The sequence below is a fragment of the Homo sapiens genome, chromosome 19 (assembly GCF_000001405.40).
Source record: "Homo sapiens chromosome 19, GRCh38.p14 Primary Assembly".
In the NCBI taxonomy this organism is placed as follows: domain Eukaryota; kingdom Metazoa; phylum Chordata; class Mammalia; order Primates; family Hominidae; genus Homo; species Homo sapiens.
In genome coordinates this window covers 9,949,479-9,975,081 of record NC_000019.10, presented here as the reverse complement: position 1 = coordinate 9,975,081, position 25,603 = coordinate 9,949,479, and the positions used below count along the sequence as shown (strand labels likewise).

Genomic DNA, 25,603 nt, shown 5'->3' with positions numbered 1-25,603 from the left:
AAGAAAAAAAAAAAAAAAAAGCCAGGCACAGTGGCACACACTTGTAATCCCAGCTATTCAGGAGACTGAAGCAGGAGAATTGCTTGAACCAGGGAGGCAGAGGTTGCAGTGAGCAGAGATTGCGCCACTGCACTCCAGCCTGGGTGACAGAGTGAGACTCCTTCTCAAAACAAAACAAAAAACAAAAACAAACAAACAAAAACAAACAAACAAACAAAAGCCTTATCTTCAAATCTCTTAACCAAGCCCTGACCCAGACCTGTCCTTTTTTGTTTATTACCATACAATAGGAACATACGGCCCTATCCTTAACCCCAACTCTGACCCAACTCTTCCAATGCTGACCCCAGACCTGAACTCAAACTTTGAATATGACCCTGGGCCCAACCTCAAACCCAACCCTAAATTCCATCTCAACCCCAGTTGAACCCTGCCCAAGAACTGAACCTCAACTGCAAATCCGACTCACTGTTTAACACTTTGACTCAACCCTTGACTTCATTCCCAAGCCCTGTTCCTTAACCTAGACCCCAACTCCAACTCAACACTGACCCTCTCTAAACTTAATCTGAACCCTGACTCCAACCCTTAACCTCAGTCTTGACCCTTGAGCCTCACTCTGCCCTAATCACTGACCCAGACCTTAAATGTGCCCCTGTTTGTGTTCTTCCAGGGAGCAGACGGGGCTCAGGGGCGCCGGGGACCCCCAGGCCTCTTTGGGCAGAAAGGAGATGACGGAGTCAGAGGCTTTGTGGGGGTGATTGGCCCTCCTGGACTGCAGGTGGGTGTCTGGGTTTGGGGGTGGCACTTCTGATTCTCCCTACCTGGTGCCCCAATCTTGCTTCTTTGTTCCACAGGGGCTGCCAGGCCCTCCGGGAGAGAAAGGGGAGGTCGGAGACGTCGGGTCCATGGTATGCACTCCCAGAGGAAGGTGGGAGGGGGAGGATGGTGGGGTTATAGGTTGGCGGCAGGCATTAGATTCATTTGAGGGACATTGTCATTTTAAGGGCCCTGAGGGTCACCAGCATTGACAGTGGTATCTGTGGTCAATGTGGCCTTTTGGGGAGAGGGGCCTGGGGTCACTGGGTACTAATTCTGACCTTCCACAGGGTCCCCATGGAGCTCCAGGTCCTCGGGGTCCCCAAGGCCCCACTGGATCAGAGGTGAGAACTCTTGGGGGGCCAGGAAGGCTCAGAGATGGGGACAACCATTTCCTAAGAAGAGGATGTTGGGATTCCACAGTCCCACTCTTACCCCTTGCTGTCTCTCCAGGGCACTCCAGGGCTGCCTGGAGGAGTTGGTCAGCCAGGCGCCGTGGGTGAGAAGGTGAGTGAGGGAAGGCAGGGGCTGCACGGGGGGAAGAGATAAATCTAGTCCTATTGGGCAGGGACATTCTGGGGAGCCCCTCCCTGTCTGCTAGGATGGGACCTCTCCCCACTCTCACTTTGCCTCCTGCAGGGTGAGCGAGGGGACGCTGGAGACCCAGGGCCTCCAGGAGCCCCAGGCATCCCGGTGAGTGACTGTGTGATGTGGTCCCTGCACCCAACTCAGGGAACCCCTGACCCCTGGGCATCTTGGGCCACTTTGACCTCTGGACAGTGCAAGATCATCCACTCACCCCTGTCCTGTGGCCGTCCCTGATTACCTTGAGGAAGGACACCTGGAAGTTCTCAGATAGGGCTGCTATGTACAGTTCTGCAGGTTGCACACTACACAAGACTACATGACCCAGGGGATAGGTGAGGGCTCAAATCTGAGTCATGAGTCCTGACCTGAGGATGAGTTGCCCAGATGGGGCCCCTCTTCTAATTCACTCAAGGGCAGCACATGGGCTAGGCCAACCTTGCACATGACCAATGGGCACCTAGACCATCCAGACCTTTCACTGTCTTAAGTCCTAGCTCCTTCTGACCTTTGACCCTTGGACAACCTAGGCTACTCTGAACCCTGACCCCAGAAAAGTCCCAGACCACCCCAATGCCTGAATCCAAGTATGCTAATCCTTGATCCCTGGAGAGTCCAGGCCACTCTGACCTCTGACCTCTTTCTGTAAAGGGGCCCAAGGGAGACATTGGTGAAAAGGGGGACTCAGGCCCATCTGGAGCTGCTGGACCCCCAGGCAAGAAAGGTCCCCCTGGAGAGGATGGAGCCAAAGGGAGCGTGGTGAGTCCTGGGGGGAAGTGGGGGCAGACATGGGAGGGGGCACTTGAATGTACTTGAAGCTCTCCCAAACTTTTTTTTTTTTTTGAGATGGAGTCTTGCTCTGTCACCAGGCTGGAGTGCAGTGGCACGATCTCAGCTCACTGCAACCTCCGTCTTCCGGGTTCAAGCGATTCTTCTGCCTCAGCCTCCCAAGTAGCCAGGACTACAGGCACGCGCCACCACACCCAGCTAATTTTTGTATTTTTAGTAGAGATGGGTGTTCACTATGTTGGCCAGGATGGTCTCGATCTCCTGACCTCGTGATCAGCATGCCTCAGCCTCCCAAAGTGCTGGGATTACAGGCATGAGCCACCGCGCTCGGCCAAAACTCTCCCAGACTTCTAGCCAGGGATTGCATCCTCTAATTTACTGATCTCATGAGTAACCCCCAGAACACGGATGAATGAATGAATGGGTGGATGGATGGATTAATGAATGAGTGGATGAATGTATGAATGAGTGAATTAATGAATGGACAAGTGAATAACTCAGTGGATGGATGAATACGTGAATGAATAAATGGATGAATAAATGAGTGAATGGATGAACGAGTGAGTGAATGGATGAACGAGTGAATGAATGGATGAACGAGGGAATGAATGGGTGAATGAGTGAATTAATGGAAAAATGAATAAATCAGTGGATATATGAATATGTGAATGAATAAATGTGCACGAATAAATGAGTGAATGAATGGATGAATGAGTAAATTAATGGATGAATAAGTAAATTAATGGATGCATGAATATGAATGAATGGATGAATGAATGAGTGGCCGAATGGACAAATGAGTGAGTGAATGAGTGAATGGATGCATGAATGAATGGACAGAGGCGCAAGTGAACAAAATGACTGAAGAGATGAGTGAATAAACGAATGGATGGATGGATGAGTGAATTAGTGAGTAAATGTGTGAATGAAACATAAACGTGCAGTGGTTATACATCATTGAATGGCAAGAAAGTTGATTTCATGGCAGATCATTCTAACACTTGAATTAGTGAGTAAATGTGTGAATGAAACATAAACGTGCAGTGGTTATACATCATTGAATGGCAAGAAAGTTGATTTCACGGCAGATCATTCTAACACTGTTGCAAAGATTAAGGTTGAATTGGGTCAGATTTGGGGTGGATGTGGGATTTGGCTTTGAGGTGAAGGTTGAGGCCCTTCTGTCACCACAGTAGAGGTTGGGGCGGGTGGAGGTCAGGAAGGGGCTTTAGCATCTGTGGGACCTCGACTTGAATGGCATTGTTTGGCGTGTCCCTTCTCTGAGTGTATGAATGAATGGATGGATGGATGAATGAATGAATGAATGAGTGAATGAATGAATAGACGAATCAATGAATGAATAGACAAATGAATGGCCAGTTTTCTCTGTGAGTCCCGAGCTGAGAGGCTGTGAGGACGCTGCAGTGAGACCATGCGTGCGGCATTCTTAGCTCAGCGTCTGCACCCATGAAACACGAGAATGTTCGCTCTACCAAGCCAGGGATTTTATGTTTTGTTCACTAATGTGTCCCCAGAAACCAAACTGTTCCTGGATACAGTTGATCTGTTCCATAAATGCATGATTGCTCCACAATTCAGAGATGTGATTATTAATCATTCTGTGTTCCAGGGCCCCACGGGGCTGCCCGGAGATCTAGGGCCCCCAGGAGACCCTGGAGTTTCAGTGAGTGTGACCCCCTCCCCAATCCTGGCATATTTCCTAATTCTGTCCCCATCTCCCTACCCCCACAGACCTGGGCACTGACAGTGGAACCAAAAACGTTCTTTTGCCTCCCAGCCCCATCCCAAATTCTCACGTACCCTCATCACCCCTCCCAACTCTGTCTTCCCCCCATGCAGGGCATAGATGGTTCCCCAGGGGAGAAGGGAGACCCTGGTGATGTTGGGGGACCGGTGAGTGGGAAAACAGAGGGTGTGGTGCTGAGGCGGGGGTTGGGGAGCTAATGAGTGAGTGAATTGGGGGGGCAGGGGAGTGGGCTAGTGGGGTACCCAAGGCCCCTGCAGATGCTCCCGCTTCACCTCTCTGGGGACCCCCAGGAATGTGAGCAGCTTGAGGGAGTAGGTGGGAGGTGGGAGTACCCGGTGCTGGGGTGAGGCTTGGGGAAGGGTGTCCTCTGGTCCAAGGCGTCCTAAAACAGTCAGGCTCAAACAATGTTAGCTGAGACCACAGCTGGTGTCCTTGTCTCCTCCAGGGTCCGCCTGGAGCTTCTGGGGAGCCCGGCGCCCCCGGGCCCCCCGGCAAGAGGGTAAGTGATAAGCCACCTCCTGGGTCCTCAGCTTATCTACAGCCCCCACTCACCTTACAGACCTCACTCATCCCACAGCCCTCAACTCACCCCACAGACCCCACACACCCACAGACCCCACTCACTCCACAGCCCCCACTCACCCCACAGACCCCACACACCCACAGACCCCACTCACCCACAGACCCCACTCACCTTACAGCCCCCACTCACCCCACAGACCCCACTCACCCCACAGCCCCCGCTTACCCCACAGACCCCACTCAGCCACAGAACACACTCACCCACAGACCCCACTCACCCACAGATTCCACTCACCCCACAGACCTCAGTCAACCACAGACCCCACTCATCCACACACCCCACCTCACCCCAAAGACCCCACTCACCCCACAGCCCCCACTCACCCACAGCCCCCACTCACCCACAGACCCCACTCACCCACAGACCCCACTCACCCCACAGACCCCACTCACCCACAGCCTCCACTCACCCACAGCCTCCACTCACCCACAGCCTCCACTCAGCCACAGCCCCCACTCACCCACAGCCCCCACTCACCCAGACCTCATTCACCCCACAGACCCCACTCACCTTACAGACCCCACTCATCCATAACCCCCCAGTCACCCAGACCCCACTCACCCCTCTGACCCTCAGTCAGCCCCTAGACCCCCCTCACTGTCTTTCCCTTCCAAGGGTCCTTCAGGCCACATGGGTCGAGAAGGCAGAGAAGGGGAGAAAGGTGCCAAGGTGAGTCCCCCTGGCAAGGGGAAGGGTCCCTGCACTACTCTAGGCCAACAGTGGGGCCATCAGGAGAGGGTGGACCTATGACCACTCTGTGCACCTACTCCCTCCCGATCCCAGATGCTTCTTGGCAGGGGTCAGGAGGCAGGAACCCTCTGACTCTGGCCCCTCCCTTGCCTGTGTCCATTTCAGGGGGAGCCAGGTCCTGATGGGCCCCCAGGGAGGACGGGTCCAATGGGGGCTAGAGGGCCCCCTGGACGTGTGGGGCCTGAGGGTCTTCGAGGGATCCCTGGCCCTGTGGTGAGTGGAGCGGGGCAGGGGTGGGACAGGGTGGATCCAGCTCCTCTCTGTCTGCTCCCAGCTTGTGATCCCATCACCGTTTGGAGGGGCTGCCCCTGGTGCATGGTCGGGGGGGGGTCCACACTGTGTTCTGACAGGGTGCAGCCCACCCCATGTTCTGTTCCATTCTCAGGGTGAACCAGGCCTCCTGGGAGCCCCTGGACAGATGGGCCCTCCTGGCCCCCTGGTAAGAGACTTGTTCATCCTTGAGGTTCTGGCTCTGAGGACCACTCTGGGCACCTAGTGACCACCTAGTGAGCATTGGTGCAGGCTAGCCCTCACTGACCATCCATCTGAGTGTCCATACTGCCTGTCTCTACTAACCATCTGCTCTGACCTTCCACCCTGATGGTCTACACTGCCCATCTCTATAACCCTCTGCTCTAACACTCCACCTTGATGATCTACACTGCCCATCTCTATAACCCCCTGCTCTGACCTTCCACCTTGATGGTCTACACTGCCCATCTCTATAACCCTCTGCTCTAATACTCCACCTTGATGGTCTACACTGACCACACTGACCCTTCATCTTGATGCCTGCACTGACTCTCCATCTTAATGGTCTACACTGATCACCCACGCTGACCTTGGCCACTGACCACTCACGTTGTCCATCCTCCAGTCAACCCCTCATTAGCTCTCATCATCCCACCTTGGTGGCCTACTCTGACCATCCCTTGACCTCATCCCTGGTAATTCCCATTTGAAATCTGCATAATTTCCCATTTGACCATCCCCTAACCACCCACACAGACCTCGAGTTCACATTTGAGAATCCCTAACTGACCCTTGCTCTTCTCCCAGGGGCCCTCTGGCCTCCCAGGGCTGAAGGGAGACACTGGCCCCAAGGGGGAAAAGGTAAGGACATCATTCCATTATTCTCTTCCCCATCTCCTCCCCTCTTTCCCTCCCTCCCTGGCTGGGGGGCTGGGAGATTGGTGCATCCTCTGCTCCCAAACTCATCACCCTAAGGCTCTAGGAGAAAAACCTCCCTGAATCCTCCCACGTCCTCCCCTGTCTGTGCCTCTTTTGTCCTTCAGGGCCACATTGGATTGATCGGTCTCATTGGCCCCCCGGGAGAAGCTGGTGAGAAAGGAGATCAGGGGTTGCCAGGCGTGCAGGGACCCCCTGGTCCCAAGGGAGACCCTGTGAGTGTCCTGACCTGAGCGGGAAGAATGCATTTGAAGGAGGGGGTCGGTTGAGAGACTGTGGGTGTGGGGTCTGGGAAACGTGGGTCTGGATTAATGAGGGTGTGTGTGGGGAAAATAGGGGGATGTATCTGGGAACTGGCAAGTTGGAGGCTGCGTCTGGGGTTTGGGGTCTCTCTGTGGGGGAACTGGAGGCTTGTCTAGGGTTCGGGGTCTTCCTTTGGTAGGATTGAAGGCTTGTCTGGGGGATGTGTCAGGGCAATAGGGTGTACCCCACCAATACTGACCCGATGTCCTTTTCCTAGGGTCCCCCTGGTCCCATTGGCTCTCTGGGCCACCCTGGGCCCCCAGGTGTGGCGGTGAGTATGCAGGGAATCTTTTGTGGGATGAGGTCACTGTGGTGGTCCAGGCCAGGACCTCAGCTCTCCCTGTCTGTACCCTACAGGGCCCTCTAGGACAGAAAGGCTCAAAAGGGTCTCCGGTGAGTACACCCTGCTTCCGTGGGCTTACACATCCCAGCTCCCCACCCCCTTCACTGCACCAGAACCCTCCACGTCTCTGCCTTCATTTATTTATTTATTCATGCAATCGTGCGTTCGACAAATATTTATTCAACACCTACGGTTGTATTTCATCAGATCCAAAATGCCATCAATTATAAGATGTACCATTATTTTACAAACTGCTAGGAAAGAAAACAGTTCTGCCAAGTAAACTATGACTTGCCAAAGATGTTAAGAAGCTGATTTCAGAGACATTAAAACATGAAAAGAAAATTTGTGTCTGATGCCTAATGCTGAAAACTGCATGTCTCTTCCCCAAGGCTGTATGTGTGTGTGTGAGTGTGTGAGTGAGTGTGTATGTGAGTGTGTGAGACTGTGTGTGTGTGAGTGTGTGTGTGAGTGTGTGTGTGTGTTTGTGTGTATGTTGGTGGGAAGGGTCTCCATAGACAGGGTTCATTCTCCAAGTGACTTCTCCCTACAGGGGTCCATGGGCCCCCGTGGAGACACTGGACCTGCAGGCCCACCAGGCCCCCCGGTGAGTTCCCCGGGGGGCGGGGGAATGGACACCAAAACCTGGGGGGAGAGCAAGGACTATGTCTGGGTGTCCCCAGAGGGTCCTTCCGTGCGCAGCACTGGGCCAGGCACACACTAGGTGTTCAGAGGATGTAGGTGAAGAGGGTAGTTCCCTGTAAAACCCCAAGGAAGGTCTGGCCTGGGAGGGGGGACTTGGGGGGACACCCATGGGGGCTCTGACCTGGGTCTTGTCTCTTGGACCCCATCTCTCCCTCCCTGTCTCTGTCCATCTCCCTTATCTGTCTCTGTCTATACTGGCGCCACTATTTCATCTTCTGTCTCTCTCCCTGCTCTCTCTCCCTGTCTCTGCTATTCTTGCGCTTTCTCTTTTGTCCTCTTACAACTTGGCTTCTCCCCATCTCTGAATCTGTCTCTCTCTTTCCTGTGTGTCTCTCCCTGTCTGCTTATCTCTCCTTTCTCTATCTCTGCCCCTTGTTTATCTCTCTCCCTCCTCTTTCTCATTTGTGTCTGTCTGCCTCTTCATCTCTGCCTGTCTCTCTTTCTCCCTCTCTCTCCCTCCCCCATCTCCCCTCTCTTCTCCGTCCCCATCCCCTACGCCCAGGGTGCCCCTGCCGAGCTGCATGGGCTGCGCAGGCGCCGGCGCTTCGTCCCAGTCCCGCTTCCAGTCGTGGAGGGCGGCCTGGAGGAGGTGCTGGCCTCGCTCACATCGCTGAGCTTGGAGCTGGAGCAGCTGCGGCGTCCTCCCGGCACTGCGGAGCGCCCGGGCCTCGTGTGCCACGAGCTGCACCGCAACCACCCGCACCTGCCTGATGGTGAGGTCCGGTCCCCCCGCCACTTGGATGGGCGGAGTGGGGGTGTGGGGGGGGTTGGGGTCCGTCGGGTCCCATCCGGACTCACCCACCCTGCCTGGCTCTGCGGCAGGGGAATACTGGATTGACCCCAACCAGGGCTGCGCGCGGGACTCGTTCAGGGTTTTTTGCAACTTCACGGCGGGAGGAGAGACCTGCCTCTATCCCGACAAGAAGTTTGAGATCGTGAGTAACCCAAACCTCTCATCGCCTCCCCCAGGAAGTGCTGTCCCCTGCTCCCCACACCCACAACCACCTTGTCTGGGACGTTATCCTTCCTTCAACCGGCATTTATTGAGCACTTACTGTATGCCAAGTCCTGCCTCAAGAGCTGGGACTACAGCAGAGGATCAAAAAGAAAAAAAATCAGGCCAGCCTGGTGGCACATGCCTATAATCTCAGCATTTTGGGAGGCTGAGGCGGGAGGATCGCTTGAGGTCAGGAGTTCGAGACCAGCCTGAGCAACATAGCAAAACCCCATTTCTACAAGAATTAAAAAACTGGCGGGCATGGTGGTGCGAGCCTGTAGTCCCAGCTACTCTGGAGACTGAGGCGGGAGGATCCTTTGAGCCCTAGAGGCAGAGGTTAGTGTGAGCCGAGATTGTGCCACTGCACTCCAGCCTGGGAGACAGAGCAAGTCTCCTTCTCAGAAAAAAGAAAGGAAAGAAAACAAACTATCTCTGCTTTTATGGAACTCATACCTTCCATGGGAAGACAGACAAGGAAAACTCCAAAAGAAATCAATAGGCTGGATGTGGTAGCTCACGCCTGTAATCCCAGCACTTTGGGAGGCCAAGCGGGGGCAGATCACCTGAGGTCAGGAGTTCGAGACAAGGCTGACCAACATGGTGAAACCCCGTCTCTACTAAAAATAAAAAAATCAGCTGAGCGTGATGGCGGGCGCCTGTAATCCCAGCTACTCGGGGGCTGAAGCAGCAGAATCACTTGAACTTGGGAGACGGAGGTTGCAATGAGCCAAGATTGCACCATGGCACTCCAGCCTGGGTGACAGAGTGAGACTCCGCCTAGAAAAAAAAAAAAGAAGGCCGGGCGCGGTGGCTCACTCCTGTAATCCCAGCACTTTGGGAGGCCGAGGCGGGTGGATCACAAGGTCAGGAGATCGAGACCATCCTAGCTAACATGGTGAAACCCTGTCTCTACTAAAAAAATGCAAAAAATTAGCCAGGCATGGTGGCAGGCGCCTGTAGTCCCAGCTACTCGGGAGGCTGAGGCAGGAGGATGGCGTGAACCCAGAAGGCGGAGCTTGCAGTGAGCCGAGATCGTGTCACTGAACTTCAGCCTGGGCGACAGAGCGAGACTCCATCTCAAAAAAAAAAAAAAAAGAAAAAGAAAAGAAAAAAAGAAAGTATCTACTTCATAGAGTGGCTGTGCAATTCAGATACTGATGCAAAAACAAATATCAGTGAACTGTTTTGTTTTTGTGTGTGTGTGAGACAGAGTCTGTCTCTGTCTCCCAGCCTGGAATGCAGTGGCGTGATCTCAGCTCACTGCAACCTCTGCCTCCCAGGTTCAAGTGTTTCTCCTGCCTCAGCCTCCCCAGGAGCTGTAATTACAGGCATGCGCCACCATGCCCAGCTGATTTTTTTTTTTTTTTTTTTTTTTTTTTTTTTTTTTTTTTTTTTTTAGTAGAGATGGGGTTTCACTACGTTGGTTAGGCTGGTCTTGACCTCAGGTGATCTGCCCACCTTGGCCTCCCAAAGTGCTGGGATTACAGGCATGAGCCACCGCACCTGGCCTGCAGGGAACATTTACTAAACCCTGACTACATGTAGTGCTGGGCTAATACCTCTATCTGCAGGTAAAGCACTTAGCAAGAACCTGGCCGGTATAAGTGTGAAATAATATTTATTGTTATTGTTATTTTTGTCTGTTTTTCAGACAGGGTCTCACTCTGTCACCCAGGCTAGAGCACAGTGGTGGGATCACAGCTCACTGCAGCCTTAACCTCCTGGGTTCAATGATCCTCCTGTCTCAGCCTCTTGAGTAGCTGTGCATCACACAGGTGTGCATCACCATGCCTGGCTAATTTTTTAAATTTCTTATAGAGATGAGGGTCTCACTATGTTGCCCAGGCTGGTCTTGAACTCCTGGCCTCAAGAGATCCTCCTGCATTGGCCTCCCAAGGTATTGTGATTATAGGCATAAACCACCACACCCGGTCTATTCTAATTTTTATAGACAGGGTCTTTCTCTATCACCCAGGCTGGAGTGCAGTGGCATCATCATAGCTCACTGTAACCTAAAGCACTGGGATTAAGCAGTGGGAGAAAGCCACTGTGCCCAGCCCCATATTGTTTTGTTCTTTTGAGACATAGTCTCACTCTGTTGCCCAGGCTGGAGTGCAGTGGCGTGATCTTGGTTCACTGCAACTTCCACCTCCCCAGTTCAAGCAATTCTCCTGCCTTAGCCTCCCGAGTAGCTGAGATTACAGGTGCCTGTCACCACACCTGGCTCATTTTGTATTGTATTTTTAGCAGAGACGGGGTTTCACCATGTTGGCCAGGCTGGTCTCAAACTCATGGCCTCGAGTGATCCACCCATCTCGGCCTCCCAAAGTGCTGAGATTACAGGTTTGAGCCACCGCGCCTGGCCCCATGTTGTTATTTTTAACTGGTTTATTTTCTCCTGGTTTAGTGGGAGCTCAGATGCCCAGTGGATGGGAATTTAGACAAGCTTGGACTTCCCACTGGGCCCGGAGTGCAAGACTTGATCCCTAAACAATTACTAACATCTGAGGACCTCCTCTTCACTCACCTGCTTAGCCTAAAGGGAGAGGCTGAGGCTGGGCACAGTGGCTCATACCTGTAATCCCAGCACTTTGGGAGGCTGAGGCTGAGGTGGGAGGATCGCTTGAGCCCAGGAGTTCAAGACCAGCCTGGGCAACATAGAAAGACCCCCTCCACCCGCCCCCCCCCCCAAAAAAAACAGGCATGGTGGCACACTCCTATTATCCCAGCTACTTAGGAGGCTGAGGTCAGAGGATTGCTTGAACTTTGGAAGTCGAGGCTGCAGTGAGCCAGTGATCACACCACTGCACTCCAAGACCCTGTGACAGAACAAGACTCTGTCTCAAAAAATAAAAATTTAAAAAAGCTGGGCATGGGGGTACATGCCTGTAGTTCTAGCTACTTGGGAGGCTGCAGTGGGAGGATTGCTTGAGCCCAGGAGTTTGAGGCTGCAGTGAACTATGATTATGTCACTGCACTTCAGCCTGGGTGACAGAGTGAGATCCTGTCTCAAAAATTAATTAATTAATTAATTAAAATAAAATGGTGCCATTGGAGACCCAGAGCTCAATCCCACTGGGGAGCCCTGGGAGACTGTGTAGCACAGGCACCTGAGAGTTATCCCCCTTGGAGGTGAGGGAGCTGGGGTATTTATCCACCAACTCCCATTAGTCATTGGGTGAGGGCTGCCTCAGGGGCATGAACCTCCTTCCCCCATTGTGCACTGGCAGAGCTCGTCCATCCCAGAAGCCAGAGAACATCCTGACATAGTCACAACAGCCTACTGTGTGAGGAGGGAAATGCAGATGAGATCTAGATGGCACCAAGGGCGTCAGCTACAGTGACCCTCCCTTTTCTCTTCCAGGTGAAATTGGCCTCCTGGTCCAAGGAAAAGCCTGGAGGCTGGTATAGCACATTCCGTCGAGGGAAGAAGGTGAGTCACCGAGGCCGAGATGGGGAGTGACATGAAAATTGATGGGAACCAGCAGGGGGGTTTGAGGGGTGGGTTCTGAGAGGTGAGATGAAGAGGATAGGCTTTCCTCTACCTTCCTAGGGATCGCAAGCTGGAGGTGGGGTGGCAGCAGCATCAGATGTGTAACAGGCAGTCAATTGCCATACAGAATGATGGTGCCAGGATAGGGGAAGCACAGGGCATGGTGGAAATTTAGAGGCAGTGTTGGAAAGACCAGAAGGCTTCCTAGTAGAGATCACAGCTCATCTGAAGCCTAAAGAATGCACTGTGTTAGCAAGCTAGGAAGGACAAGGACAAGTGTTCCAGGGAGAGGGAAAGGCATATGCAAAGGCTCAGTCAAGACAGGGTCTGGTGAATTTGAAGAAGAAAAAGCCACATGGCTGGGTACAGTGGCCTGTAATTCCAGCACTTTGGGAGGCCAAGGTAGGCGGATCACCTGAGGTCAGGAGTTCAAGACCAGCCTGGCCAACATTGTAAAACCCCATCTCTGCTAAAAATACAAAAAATTAGCCAGACATGGTGATGTGTGCCTGTAATCCCAGCTACTCAGGAGGCTGAGGCAGGAAAATCACTTGAGCCCTGGAGGAAGAGGTTGCAGTGAGCCAAAACCGTGCCACTGCACTCCAGCCTGGGCAACAGAGCGAGATTCCGTCTCAAAAAAAAAAAAAGCATTATTAAGATATTTTGTATTTTTTTCAGATTAGCTCTTCAAAATCTGATGGAGATTTTACATTTATAGTACATCACAATTTGAATGCTAAATTTTATTGGGAATATTTGCTCTATATTTAGATTTCATAAAACCATTGAACAACAGTTCAAAAAGTAGATTCAGACTCAAGTTGTTCCAAGCATAAGCTTTCTGATAACTGGATTGAAGCTCAGTCATTAGTTGTGAATTTTTTTAAGTAAAAGAATTCAGGGCCAGGCACAGTGGCTCACGCCTGTAATCCCAGCACTTTGGGAGGCCAAGGTGGGCGGATCACGAGGTCAGGAGATCGAGACCATCCTGGCTAACATGGTGAAACCCCGTCTCTACTAAAAATACAAAAAATTAGCCGGGCGTGGTGGCAGGCGCCCGTAGTCCCAGTTACTTGGGAGGCTGAGGCAGGAGAAAGGCGTGAACCCGGGAGGCGGAGCTTGCAGTGAGCTGAGACCATGCCACTGCACTCCAGCCTGGGCGACAGAGCAAGACTCCGTCTCAAAAAAAAAAAAAAAAATTAAATGAAGTTAAAAAAAAAAAAAGTCCCAGCCAGGCATGGTGGTGTGCACCTATAGTCCCAGCTACTTGGGAGGCTGAGATGGGAGGATGACTTGAGCTCAGGAGATGGAGGCTGGAATGAGCCAGGATTGTGCCAGTGCACCCCAACTTGCGCGAAAGAGCAAGATCCCAACCCTTACCCCCCAAAAAAGGAAAAAAAATTAAATAAAGTAAAAAAAAATCCCTCCTTCAAATCAGCCACATTTCAAGTGCTCAAAAGCCACGTGGCTATTAGACATGTGGCTGCCATATTGGACAGGGCAGAAATCTGGTATCAGGGACAGTGAGCTCTGTAGATCCAGCGACTCACAAGAGTGGAGGCAGAGTTGTGTCTTCTGGGTGGGGATGAGTGTGTTAAAACCCTGGATTGGTGGATGAAGCAATCAGAATTTGGGAGGTCAGATGGAGTGGGCATGGAGGCCTACTGGATGGAGAGGTGGACAGAGTGGATGTTCAGGTGACTCTTGGGATTCTGCCAGGGATCTCTAGGTGGCTGGTGGGACCTCCTCAGAGATGGTGACATGGGGGGGGTGGCTTGTCTGCCAGTGGATGGAGATTCCAGGGGGTGGCTTCTGCAGAAAGAGGCTCATGGAGCCCCTCATCCTCTGCCTTGCCCTCCTCTCACCAGTTCTCCTACGTGGACGCCGACGGGTCCCCAGTGAATGTCGTGCAGCTGAACTTCCTGAAACTGCTGAGTGCCACAGCTCGCCAGAACTTCACCTACTCCTGCCAGAATGCAGCTGCCTGGCTGGACGAAGCCACGGGTGACTACAGCCACTCCGCCCGCTTCCTTGGCACCAATGGAGAGGAGCTGTCTTTCAACCAGACGACAGCAGCCACTGTCAGCGTCCCCCAGGATGGCTGCCGGGTAAGAGGGTGGGGCAGTGGCCAGCTAGAGAGGGGAGGCAAGATGTCGGCCACCTTCCCGGTAACTCACCGTCTCTGTCTTCTCTGGGGACAGCTCCGGAAAGGACAGACGAAGACCCTTTTCGAATTCAGCTCTTCTCGAGCGGGATTTCTGCCCCTGTGGGATGTGGCGGCCACTGACTTTGGCCAGACGAACCAAAAGTTTGGGTTTGAACTGGGCCCCGTCTGCTTCAGCAGCTGAGAGTGTCCGGGGTGGGAGGGACCATGAGGGAGCCCCAGAATGGGGTGCATTTGGTGCTGAGGCTTTGAAGCCACCGTATTTTTCGTTACCTGTGACTATGGAGCCAATGGGATGTGACTTCGCTCATCACGGACAGTCATTCCTTCTCCTTTCCAGGGTGCTGGGGGCTGGGGTTCCCTGGCCCAAGGGTCCAGCCTCCTCTCACCCCATTCCAGGTGGCATACTGCAGTCTGGCTCTTTCTCCCCTCCCTCCCCACCCAAGCCTCACCTCCCCACCCCTTGAACCCCCATGCAATGAGCTTCTAACTCAGAGCTGATGAACAAAAGCCCCCCCACCCCCAATGCCTGCCTCCTCACTCCTCCGTCGCTGCCCTTCACACCTTTTGGTGCTACCCCTCCCCAGAGTTAAGCACTGGATGTCTCCTGATCCCAGGCTGGGACCCCTACCCCCACCCCCTTTGATCCTTTCTACTTCCACGGTGAAAGGACTGAGGTCGGACTACAGAGGGAAGAGGGACTTCCCTTGACTGGGTTGTGTTTCTTTTCCTGCCTCAGCCCAGCTCTGCAAATCCCCTCCCCCTGCCCCCCACCTCCCCAGGCTCACCTTGCCATGCCAGGTGGTTTGGGGACCAAGATGTTGGGGGGGTGAATCAGGATCCTAATGGTGCTGCCCTATTTATACCTGGGTCTGTATTAAAAGGGAAAGTCCCCCCTGTTGTAGATTTCATCTGCTTCCTCCTTAGGGAAGGCTGGGATATGATGAGAGATTCCAGCCCAAGCCTGGCCCCCCACCGCCAGGCCATAGGGCATAATTTGCATCTCAAATCTGAGAATAAACTGATGAACTGTGTTTCTGTCTCTGTGTATTTCTTTTTTAAATTTTTTTGTTTGTTTGTTTGTTTTATTTATTTATCCTTGAGACGCAGTCTTGCTCTGTCGCCCAGGCTGGAGTGCAGTGGTGCAAGCTTGGCTCACTGCAACCTCCGCCTCCCGGGTTCAAACAATTCTCCTGCCTCAGCCTCCCTAGAAGCTGGGGTTGCAGATATGCACCACCACACCCGGCTAATTTTTATAATTTTAGTAGAGATGGGATTTCACCTTGTTGGCCAGGCTGGTCTTGAACTCCTGACTTCAGGTGATCCGCCCGCCTTGATCTCCCAAAGTGCTGGGATTACAGATGTGAGCCACCACGCTCAGCCCTTGTTTGCTCGTTTTTAGAGACTGGGTCTCACTCTGTCGCCCAGTCTGGAGTGCAAGGGCATGATCATGGCTCACTGCAGCCTCCAACTCTGGGACTCGAGTGATCCTCCTTCTTCAGCCTCCTGAGTACCTGGGACCACAGGCATGCACCATCACACCCAGCTGGGTTGTTTTGTGTGTGTGTGTGTGTGTGTGTGTTTGTGTACAGATGGTGTCTTTCTTTGTTGCCCAGGCTTGTCTCAAACTACTAGCCTCAAGCAATCCTCCCACCTCAGCCTCCTGAGCTGCTGAGATTACAGGTACGAGCCACCTCACCCAGCTCTTGATCTCTTTCATCTGATGTGGCCCATATCTGTCTTGGGATCTGGCTCTTGTCTCATCTGAGGTACCTGTCACCACCTGTATTAATTAGGTATGTCTTTTGGGAATGCAATTATAATGAGACTCACTGGAGATTATAGGCCTATTTATTCACCCAGGCTCCTAGAGGAAAAGTTGAAAATTGTCAGCTTGGGCTGGGAGGCCCAAGTCAGCTTAAACCAGAAGTTTGGCCTCTTTACAAAAAAATTTTTTTTAATTAGCTAGGCATGGAGGAGCATGCCTGTGGTTTCAGCTACTCAGGAGGCTGAGGTGGGAGAATGACTTGAGCCTGGGAGGCGGAGGTTGCAGTAAGCTGAGATTGCACCACTGTGCTCCAGCCTGGGTGACACCACAGCAAGAACTTGTCTCAAAAAAAAAAAAAAATTTGGTTTGGGATGATTTGAATTAGGAGTAAGATGTTGGTTTGAGGTATATTTTTAACTGATTTATTGAGATAGAATTCATTTACCCATTACCATATAATTCATTACCATTCATTACCATATAATTCACCCATTTAAGCTGTGTAATTAAAAGAAATCCTATACCCATTAGTGGTCACTCATGTCTTTCCAACCTCCCAGCTGTAGGCAACCACGAATCTGCTTTCTGTCTCTAAGGATTTGCCTATTCTGGACAGAAATATCCATTTCATATAAATGGAATCACGCTAGGTGAGGTGGCTCACTCCTGCAACCCCAGCATTTTGGGAGGCCAAGGCAGGAGGATCGCTTGAGGCCAGGAGTTCCAGACCAGCCTAGGCAACATAGCAAGACCCCATCTCTACAAAAATGAAAATAAAAACATTAGCCAGGTACAGTGGTGCATATCTGTAGTCCCAGCTACCCAAGAGGCTGAGGCGGGAGAATCACTGGAGGCCAGGAGTTGGAGGCTGCAGTGAGCTGTGATCTCACCACTGCACTCCAGCCTGGGAAACAGAGTGAGACCTTGTCTCTAAAAAAAAAAAAAAAAAAGGAATAAATACAAATAAATGATATAATGATATATGGCCCTTTGTATCTGGCATTTTCAGCAAAACGGTTTCCAGGAGTTTTTTGTTTTGTGGGCAGAGTCTCGCTCTGTCACCCAGGCTGGAGTGCAGTAGCACAATCTCGGCTCACTGCAACCTCCCCCTCCAGGGTTCAAGCAATTCTCCTTTCTCAGCCTCGCGAGTAGCTGGGACTACAGGCACGCACCACCATCCCTGGCTAATTTTTGTATTTTTAGTAGAAACGGAGTTTCACCATGTCGGCCAGGCTGGTCTCGAACCCCTGGCCTCAAGTGATTCACCCACCTCGATCTCCCAAAGTGCTGAGATTACAGACATTAACCACAGTGCCTGGCTGGTTTCCAGGTTTATTTGCAGCATGCATCAGTACTTCATTCCTTTTTATTGCCAAGTAATATTCAGTCATCTCCCACCTTCAGCTAATTCATTCATCGTTGATGGGCACTGTTGGATTGAGTTTAGTTAGGAGTGATGGAGAAATGGTGTGAGTTGAGTTGGGTCAGATGGGATTGGGTGGGTAGAAACTTCAGGTTGGGGTGAGTTTTCTCCCTCAAACCCAAGGCTCTCACCCTACTACTCCTGCCACCAGCCCCTTAAGGCCACCTGAATACTTGTCCTCATTCATTGAATCAACGTTGCTAAGAGTCCTGACTCCATGAAGACTGTTGGTGCCCAGAGGTTGATGATTCGTTCATTCATGTTTTTTTAGAAGCATTTTTTTTTCTTGCTGTTGCCCAGGCTGGAGTGCAGTGGTGCAATCATAGCTCACTGCAGTCTCCAACTCCTGGACTCAAGTGATCCTCCCACCTCAGCCTCTCAAGTAGCTGGGACTATATTCATGTGCCACCACGCCCAGCTAATTTTTAAACTTTTTTTTTTTTTTTGACAGAGTCTTGCTCTGTCGCCAGGCTGGAGTGCAGTGGCGTGATCTCGGCTCGTTGCAACCTCTGCCTCCTGGTTCCAAGCAACTACCCTGCCTCAGCCTCCCTAGTAGCTGGGACTATAGGTGTGCGCCATCATGCCTGGCTAATTTTTTTTTTTGTATTTTACTAGAGACGGGGTTTCACCATGTTGTCCAGGATGGTCTTGATCTCCTGACTTCATGATCCACACATCTTGGCCTCCTAAATGCTGGGATTACAGGCATGAGCCACCGCGCCCAGCCAATTTTTAAACTTTTTTAAAGAGACAGGGTCTGGGGGGAGGGGGGAGGGATAGCATTAGGAGATATACCTAATGTAAATGAGTTAATGGGTGCAGCACACCAACATGGCACATGTATACCTATGTAACAAACCTGCACGTTGTGCACATGTACCCTAGAACTTAAAGTATAATTAAAAAAAAAAAAACAGAGAGACAGGGTCTCGGCTGGGCACAGTGGCTCACACCTGTAATCCCAGCACTTTGGGAGGCCAAGGCGGGTGGATCATGAGGTCAGGAGTTTGAGACCAGCCTGGCCAATATGGTGAAACCCCGTCTCTACTAAAAATACAAAAATTAGCTGGGCATGGTGGCATGTGCCTGTAGTCCCAGCTGCTGTGGAGGCTGAGCTATGAGAATTGCTTGAACCAGGGAGGTGGAGGTTGCAGTGAGCCGAGATTGTGCCACTGCACTCCAACCTGGGTGACAGAGCGAGACTCTGTCTCAAAAAAAAAAAAAAAAGACAAGGTCTCACTGTGTTGCCCAGGCTGGTCTCAAGCTCCTGGGCTCAAGGGATCATTCAGCCTCAGCTTCCCAAAGTGCTGGGATTACAGGCGTGAGACACCATGCCCAGCCTCAACTAACACTATTAATCTTAATCATAGTTGCCATTTATTACTCATATGCCAGACACTGTTCATCAAATGTTTTACCTCGATTAATTTAATTATCCCACATAACAACCTTTGAGGGATGTTCTATTATTATCTCTGTGGTGCAGATAAAGAAACTGAGGAACAGAGAGAGGTGGAATAATTTATCCAAAGTCTAGAACTAGAAAGTGATGAAGACCATCGGCCAGACGCGGTGGCTCACGCCTGTAATCCCAGCACTTTGGGAGGCCAAGGTGGGTGGATCATGAGGTCAGGAGATCGAGACCATCCTGGCTAACCCAGTGAAACCCCGTCTCTACTAAAAATATGAAAAATTAGCAGGGCGTGGTGGCGGGCGCCTGTAGTCCCAGCTACTCGGGAGGCTGAGACAGGAGAATGGCGTGAACCCGGGAGGTGGAGCTTGCAGTGAGCTGAGATTGCACCACTGCACTGCAGCCTGGGCGACAGAGCGAGACTCCGTCAAAAAAAAAAAAAAAAAGAAGAAAGTGATGAAGATCATCAACAGATTTTGCTAAACAGAGCTGGGCATGGTGACATGCACCTGTAGCTCAAGCTATTTAGGAGCCTAAGGTGGGAGATCTGGAGTGAGTTTGAGCCCAGGACTTCAAGTCAACATGGGCAACATACCAAGATCCCATCTCTTAAAAACGAAAAACAAAAAACACAAACATTTTGCTAAACAAAAAGCCATTCTCTCTCTTAAGGGAATTTTGGCTGTTGCCGTTTTTCAAAATTACACCCCTGGGCTCAGCACTTTACATGTATTCTCTTTCTTAATTATCACAGTCCACTTTAATATCTCCCTTTCTTTTTATTTATATTTATTTTATTTTAATTATTATTATTTATTTATTTATTTATTTTTGAGAAGGAGTTTCGCTCTGTCACCCAGGCTTGAGAGCAATGGCGTGAGCTCAGCTCACTGCAAATTCTGCCTCCTGAGATCAAGCGATTCTCCTGCCTCAGGCTCCCGTGTACCTGGGATTATGGGCGTGTGCCACCATGCCCAACTAATTTTTGTATTTTTAGTAGAGACGGGGGTTTCACCATGTTGGTCAGGCAGGTCTCGAACTCCTGACCTCAGGTGATCCACTTGCCTCAGCCTCCCAAAGTGCTGGGATTACAGGTGTGAGCCACCGTGCTCGGCCTATTTCTTTTATTTTATTTTATTTATTGTATTTCTTTATTTTTTGAGACAGAGTCTTGCTCTGTTGACCAGGCTGGAGTACAGTAGCATGATCTCAGCTCACTGCAGCCTTTGCCTCCTGGGTTCAAGCAATTCTCCTGTCTCAGCCTCCTGAGCAACTGGGACTACAGGCACGTGCCATCACACCCAGCTAATTTTTGCATCTTTAGTAGAGACAGGGCTTTCACTATGTTGACCAGGCTGGTCTTGAACTCCTGACCCCAGCCTTTTATTTTTTTGAAACAGGATCTTGCTCTGTTGCCCAGGCTGGAGTGCAGTCACACGATCATAGCTCACTGCAGCCTCCAACACCTGGGCTCAACCAACCCTCTTGCCTCCACCTCCTGAGTAGCTGGGACTACAGGTGCGCTTCACCATGCTCAGCTAATTTTCAAATTTTTTTTGTAGAGAAAGGGTCTTGCTATGTTGCCCAGGCTGGTCTCAAACTCCTGTCCTCAGGCGATCCTCCCGCCTTGGCCTCCCAAAGTGTTGAGATTATAGGCATGAGCCACAGGGCGCTTGCCCCCATGCCCCCATGTCTGTTTGCTTGCATTTTACAGGAAGGAAACAGGTTCAGAGAGGGGAGGCGTCTGCCCACAGTACACAGCCAGGCGTTTGAATGCAGGTCGGCCTGTCTCGGTTTTGCAACTCCATTCCCATCCCAGTGCAGGCGTTTTGGAAAGGAGGGACGATTTATAGAGTTTAATGAGGACTCTTTAATGAGCCCAAAGCTCGTTAATGAATGAGAAACCCAACCCCATAAATGAAACGTTAATTGACAAAGGTGTGAGAAGGGAATTCTGGGCCTTGCTAAGCTCCTTGTGTTTATTCAACATTAGTGCCAGCACCCAGGCGGCTGCCCGGAAAACCCCCAGCTGATTTACATATTTAGCAGCCATAATTAATCACACTGCTAGTGCTCCCTGAGCAATTACTGACACCCAGTGTTCCAGCCAGGGGTGGAGTGGGGTGGCCAGAGTGGGGGCCGCCTGTGGCTTTATACAGAGATGGCTGTGGTCAGGCGCGGGGCGGATATGGTAGGGGAGTTTATTTGTTTAGGAGTTGGGGTCTTGCTCTGTCACCAGGCTGGAGTGCAGTGGTGTGATCATGGCTCACTGTAGCTTCCACCTCCCCTGCTCAAGTGATCCTCCTGCCTCAGCCTCCAGAGTAGCTGGGACCACAGGTGCATCCCACCTCTCCTCACTAATGGTTTTTAATTTATTTTTTTAGAGACAGGGTCCTGTGCTGTCACCCAAGCTGAAGTTCAGTGGCTTGATCATAGCTCACTGCAGCCTCAAATTCCTGGCTTTAAGCAATCCTCCTGCCTCAGCCTCCCTCATAGCTGGGACTACAGGTGCGCACCACCATGCCCGGCTATTTCTTTTGTTGTTGTTGTTGTTTTTGAGATGGTCTCGTTCTGTTGCCCGGGCTGGAGTAGAGCCTCAACATCCCAGTCTCAAGAGATCCTCACATCTCAGCCTCCTGAGTAGCTGGGACCACAGGCTCGTGCCACCACACCCACCTAATTTTTAAATCTTTTGTAGAGACAAGGGCTCACTATGTTGCCCAGGCTGGTCTGGAACTCCTGAGCTCAAGCGGTTCTCCTGCCTCAGCCTCTCAAAGTGCTGGGATGACAGGTGTTAGCCAGGGTGCCGGGCCTAGCAGGGAATTTTACACACGCATACCCATAACTTCGTTTTGTTTTGTTTGAGATGAAGTCTTGCCCTGTTGCCCAGGCTGGAATGCAGTGGCAGTGGCACAATCTTGGCTCACTGCAACCTCCGCCTCCCAGGTTCAAGCAATTCCTCTGACTCAGCCTCCTGAGTAGCTGGGACTACAGGTGTGTGCCACCATTCCTAGCTTTTTTTTTTTTTTTTTTAAATTTTTATTAGAGACGGGGTTTGGCAATGTTGGCGAGGCTAGTCTCAAACTCCTGACCTCAGGCGATCCGCCTGCCTTGACCTCTCAAAGTGCTGGGATTACAGGCATGAGCCACCGTGCCCGGCCACAACTTTGATGGGGACACTCACACACAATTATATATCAGAACCAAGGACCCTCAAAGTCAGGCTTTTCTCTTGTCACCCCTGCCACGGCTGCAGGTCATGTTCCAAACTCCCGTACACACACCCACATCCTCAGCCAGGTTCAGACACACTGGCACCAATAGCAGGGCACACACACAGTCACACACTCCCAGCTGTGAAAGGAAAATTGCAACTTGGGGCTCCAAACTCAACTGTGGCAAAAGGGAAAAGTGAAGCTTGGGAACTGAGTCAGGCGAAAACTGCTTTCCTTTTGTTCCGAAGGAGATAGCTGTAATTTCACTTGCTTACTCTGTCTTACGTAAAATGTAGATTTACTGAGCTGGAGCCGATTGCATAATCTACCCCTCTCTTTTCACATGTAAAATGCAGATTCACTAAGCGGTAATCAAAGCCTCACATGAATGAAACCACTTGCCTCATTGCCTACTCTCTCCCCTATTTTTCCCTTCCTCCTTCCCCTCCTTTTTGCTTTTTCCCCTTAAATTTGTTTTAATTTTTTTCTCTTCTTTGAGATGGAGTCTTGCTTTGTCACCCAGGCTGGAGTGCAATGATGTGATCTCGGTTCATTGCAACCTCTGCCTCTCGAGTTCAAGCGATTCTCATACCTGAGCCTCCCAAGTAGCTGGGATTACAGGCACATGCTGCCACATTCGGCTAATTTTTTGTATTTTTAGTAGAGATGGGGTTTCACCATGTTGGCCAGGCTGGTCTTGAACTCCTGGCCTCAAGTGATCTGCCCGCCTTGACCTCCCAAAGTGTGGGATTACAGGTATGAGCCATTGTGCCCACTCTAATTTTTTTTCTTAAAAGAATTTCTTTTTGGAGATAGGGTCTCGTTGTGTTGCCCAGGCTGAAGTGCAATGGTGCCATCACAGCTCACTGCAGCCTCGAACTCCCGGGCTCAAGTGATCCTCCCACTTCGGCCTCCTAGAGCACTGGGATTGCAGGCATGAACCACTACACCCAGTCCCCTTTAAATAGTGAAGTCCTAAAAACTCTCTTTGGACAAAGCACAGGCGGCAGATCCTACTGTAACTTGTGTTTCTTTTTCCCAGGAGTGTCCTTAACCTTGGCAAAATCAACCTCTAAATTGATTGAGATCTGCCTCTGTTACTTATTGGTTTATTTATTTATTTATTTATTTATTTATTTATTTATTGAGACAGAGTCTCGCTCTGTCGCCCAGGCTGGAGTGCAGCGGTGCCATCTCGACTCACTGCAAGCTCCGCCTCCCGTGTTCACGCCATTTTCCTGCCTCAGCCTCCTGAGTAGCTGGGACTACAGGTGCTCGCCACCGCGCCCTGCCAATTTTTTGTATTTTTAGTAGAGACAGAGTTTCACTGTGTTAGCCAGGACGGTCTCTATCTCCTGACCTCGGATCCGCCCTCCTCGGCCTTGCAAAGTGCTGGGATTACAGGCGTGAGCCACCGCACCCGGCCTACTTATTGGTTTACAACACACACCCAGAGCTCCCTTCACACACACACATTGGTGTTCAGAAATCCATTTGCAGAGACAGAGCCACACCTGGAGAGAGAGACTGTCATTGTCATACACAAAACTACTGCATCATGAGACCTGGCTGGCACATGTTAGACCTGGAAAACTGCAGCCTCACATGAAGACATGCCATTGACACATGAAGCTACATACAAGAGCCTGGTTAAACTGGCTTGTAGGCCAGTCATGGTGGTTCATGCCTGTAATCCCAGCACTTTGGGAGGCTGAGGCCGGCAGATCACCTGAGGTCAGGAGTTCAAGACCAGCCTGGTGGACATGCTGAAACCCCATCTCTACTAAAAATACAAAAATTAGTGAGGCATGGTGGTGCACACCTGTAATCCCAGCTACTCGGGAGGCTGAGGCAGGAGAATCGTTTGAACCCGGGAGGTGGAGGTTGCAGTGAGCCGAGGTCGCACCACTACACTCCAGCCTGGGCAACAGAGCGAGACTCCATCTCAAAAACGACAACAACGACAACAAAAACCCCAAAAAACTGGCTTGTAGACATATCAGAGGCCCCATCCCAGCACATATAACATTCAACAAATATTTGTTCAGCACCTACTATGCTCCAGGCACTAGAGTGCAATGGCGTAGGCTCTGGGGAGACAGCCATGAAACAAACAAAGATCCTTGCCCTGCTGGAGTTAACACTTTAGGATGGTTGACAGGCAGTAAGCAAATATATACATATATATATACACACACACACATACACACACACACATATACACACACACACACACACATATATGTATATATACACACACATATATGTGTGTATATATATGTATATATATAATATCAAGTGGTGCTATGAAGAAAAGCTAGGGGAGTCCAGGGGTGGTGGCTCAAGTTTGTAATCCTAGCGCTTTGGGAGGCCAAGGTGGGAGGATCGCTTGAGGCCAGGAGTTCAAGATTAGCCCTGGCAACATAGTGAGACCCTGTTTCTACAAAAACTTAAAACTTTAGCCAGGTGTAATGGCATGTGCCTGTAGTCCCAGCTTCTAGGGCGGCTGAGGCAACAGTATCACTTGAGCCCAGGAGGTCAAGGCTGCAGTGAGCCATGACTGGGCCACTGCGTTCCAGCCTGGATGATAGAATGAGACCCTGTCTAAAAAAAAAAAAAAAAAAATAGAGATTAGTGAATTTTATTGTGTATAATATATGCCTCAATGAAAACAAAATTTTAACAAGAAATGTACCAGGCAGAGCAATCCCACTTCTGGGTATATAGCAAAAGAATTGAGAGCGAAAGCTCAAAGACATATTTGTACACCCATGTGCATAGCAGCACTATTTATAATAACCAGCCAGGCATGGTGGCTCACGCCTGTAATCCCAGCACTTTGGGAAGTCAAGGAGGCCAGATCATCTGAGGTCAGGAGTTCGAGACCAGCTTGGCCAACATGGTGAAACCCCGTCTCTACTAAAAATACAAAAATTAGTTGGGCATGGTGGTGTGCACCTGCAATCCCAGCTACTCAGGAGGCTGAGGCAGGAGAATCGCTTGAACCCAGGAGGCGGAGGCTGCAGTGAGCTGAGATCATGCCAATGCACTCCACGCTGGGTGACAGAGTGAGACTCCGTCTCAAAAAAAAGTTAATTAATTAATACATAAATAGAAAATAATAGAGAGAACTCTTATCATGAACTCTCACCTACTCACACACCCACCTGAGAAATAACGCTTTGCACATAATTGATGCCCCTTGTATACATTTATCCGACTGCATCTCTTTCTTTCCCTCACCAACTGTATCCAAATGTGTATGTAAAATATGCATAACATAGGGCTGGGCGCGGTGG

General features: G+C 50.9%; 1 protein-coding gene across 3 annotated transcripts in view, besides 2 other annotated features; it reads left to right on the top strand.

Annotated features, from left to right (window-relative positions):
* COL5A3 (collagen type V alpha 3 chain) overlaps positions 1-15,521 on the top strand; it is a 50,944-nt gene extending 35,423 nt beyond the window's left edge. For all 3 annotated transcript variants that reach the window (XM_011528042.3, NM_015719.4, XM_017026849.2), the window contains 22 exons: positions 674-781; positions 858-911; positions 1,110-1,163; positions 1,273-1,326; positions 1,459-1,512; positions 2,056-2,163; positions 3,824-3,877; positions 4,054-4,107; positions 4,407-4,460; positions 5,160-5,213; positions 5,400-5,507; positions 5,680-5,733; positions 6,354-6,407; positions 6,590-6,697; positions 7,003-7,056; positions 7,143-7,178; positions 7,682-7,735; positions 8,336-8,546; positions 8,656-8,768; positions 12,195-12,263; positions 14,192-14,431; positions 14,525-15,521. In XM_011528042.3, the coding sequence (XP_011526344.1) occupies positions 674-781; positions 858-911; positions 1,110-1,163; positions 1,273-1,326; positions 1,459-1,512; positions 2,056-2,163; positions 3,824-3,877; positions 4,054-4,107; positions 4,407-4,460; positions 5,160-5,213; positions 5,400-5,507; positions 5,680-5,733; positions 6,354-6,407; positions 6,590-6,697; positions 7,003-7,056; positions 7,143-7,178; positions 7,682-7,735; positions 8,336-8,546; positions 8,656-8,768; positions 12,195-12,263; positions 14,192-14,431; positions 14,525-14,671 (1,896 nt within the window). In that variant the 3' untranslated portion in view covers positions 14,672-15,521. The remainder of the gene's footprint in view (positions 1-673; positions 782-857; positions 912-1,109; positions 1,164-1,272; positions 1,327-1,458; positions 1,513-2,055; positions 2,164-3,823; positions 3,878-4,053; positions 4,108-4,406; positions 4,461-5,159; positions 5,214-5,399; positions 5,508-5,679; positions 5,734-6,353; positions 6,408-6,589; positions 6,698-7,002; positions 7,057-7,142; positions 7,179-7,681; positions 7,736-8,335; positions 8,547-8,655; positions 8,769-12,194; positions 12,264-14,191; positions 14,432-14,524) is intronic.
* Positions 21,737-22,329: an enhancer, noted in NCBI's record as "H3K27ac hESC enhancer chr19:10063429-10064021 (GRCh37/hg19 assembly coordinates)". NCBI's record gives its function as "activates a minimal SCP1, AML or CMV promoter by ChIP-STARR-seq in naive H9 embryonic stem cells {active_cell/tissue: H9 hESC(naive)}" and the evidence as "EXISTENCE:reporter gene assay evidence [ECO:0000049][PMID:30033119]".
* Positions 22,330-22,923: an enhancer, noted in NCBI's record as "OCT4-NANOG-H3K27ac hESC enhancer chr19:10062835-10063428 (GRCh37/hg19 assembly coordinates)". NCBI's record gives its function as "activates a minimal SCP1, AML or CMV promoter by ChIP-STARR-seq in naive H9 embryonic stem cells {active_cell/tissue: H9 hESC(naive)}" and the evidence as "EXISTENCE:reporter gene assay evidence [ECO:0000049][PMID:30033119]".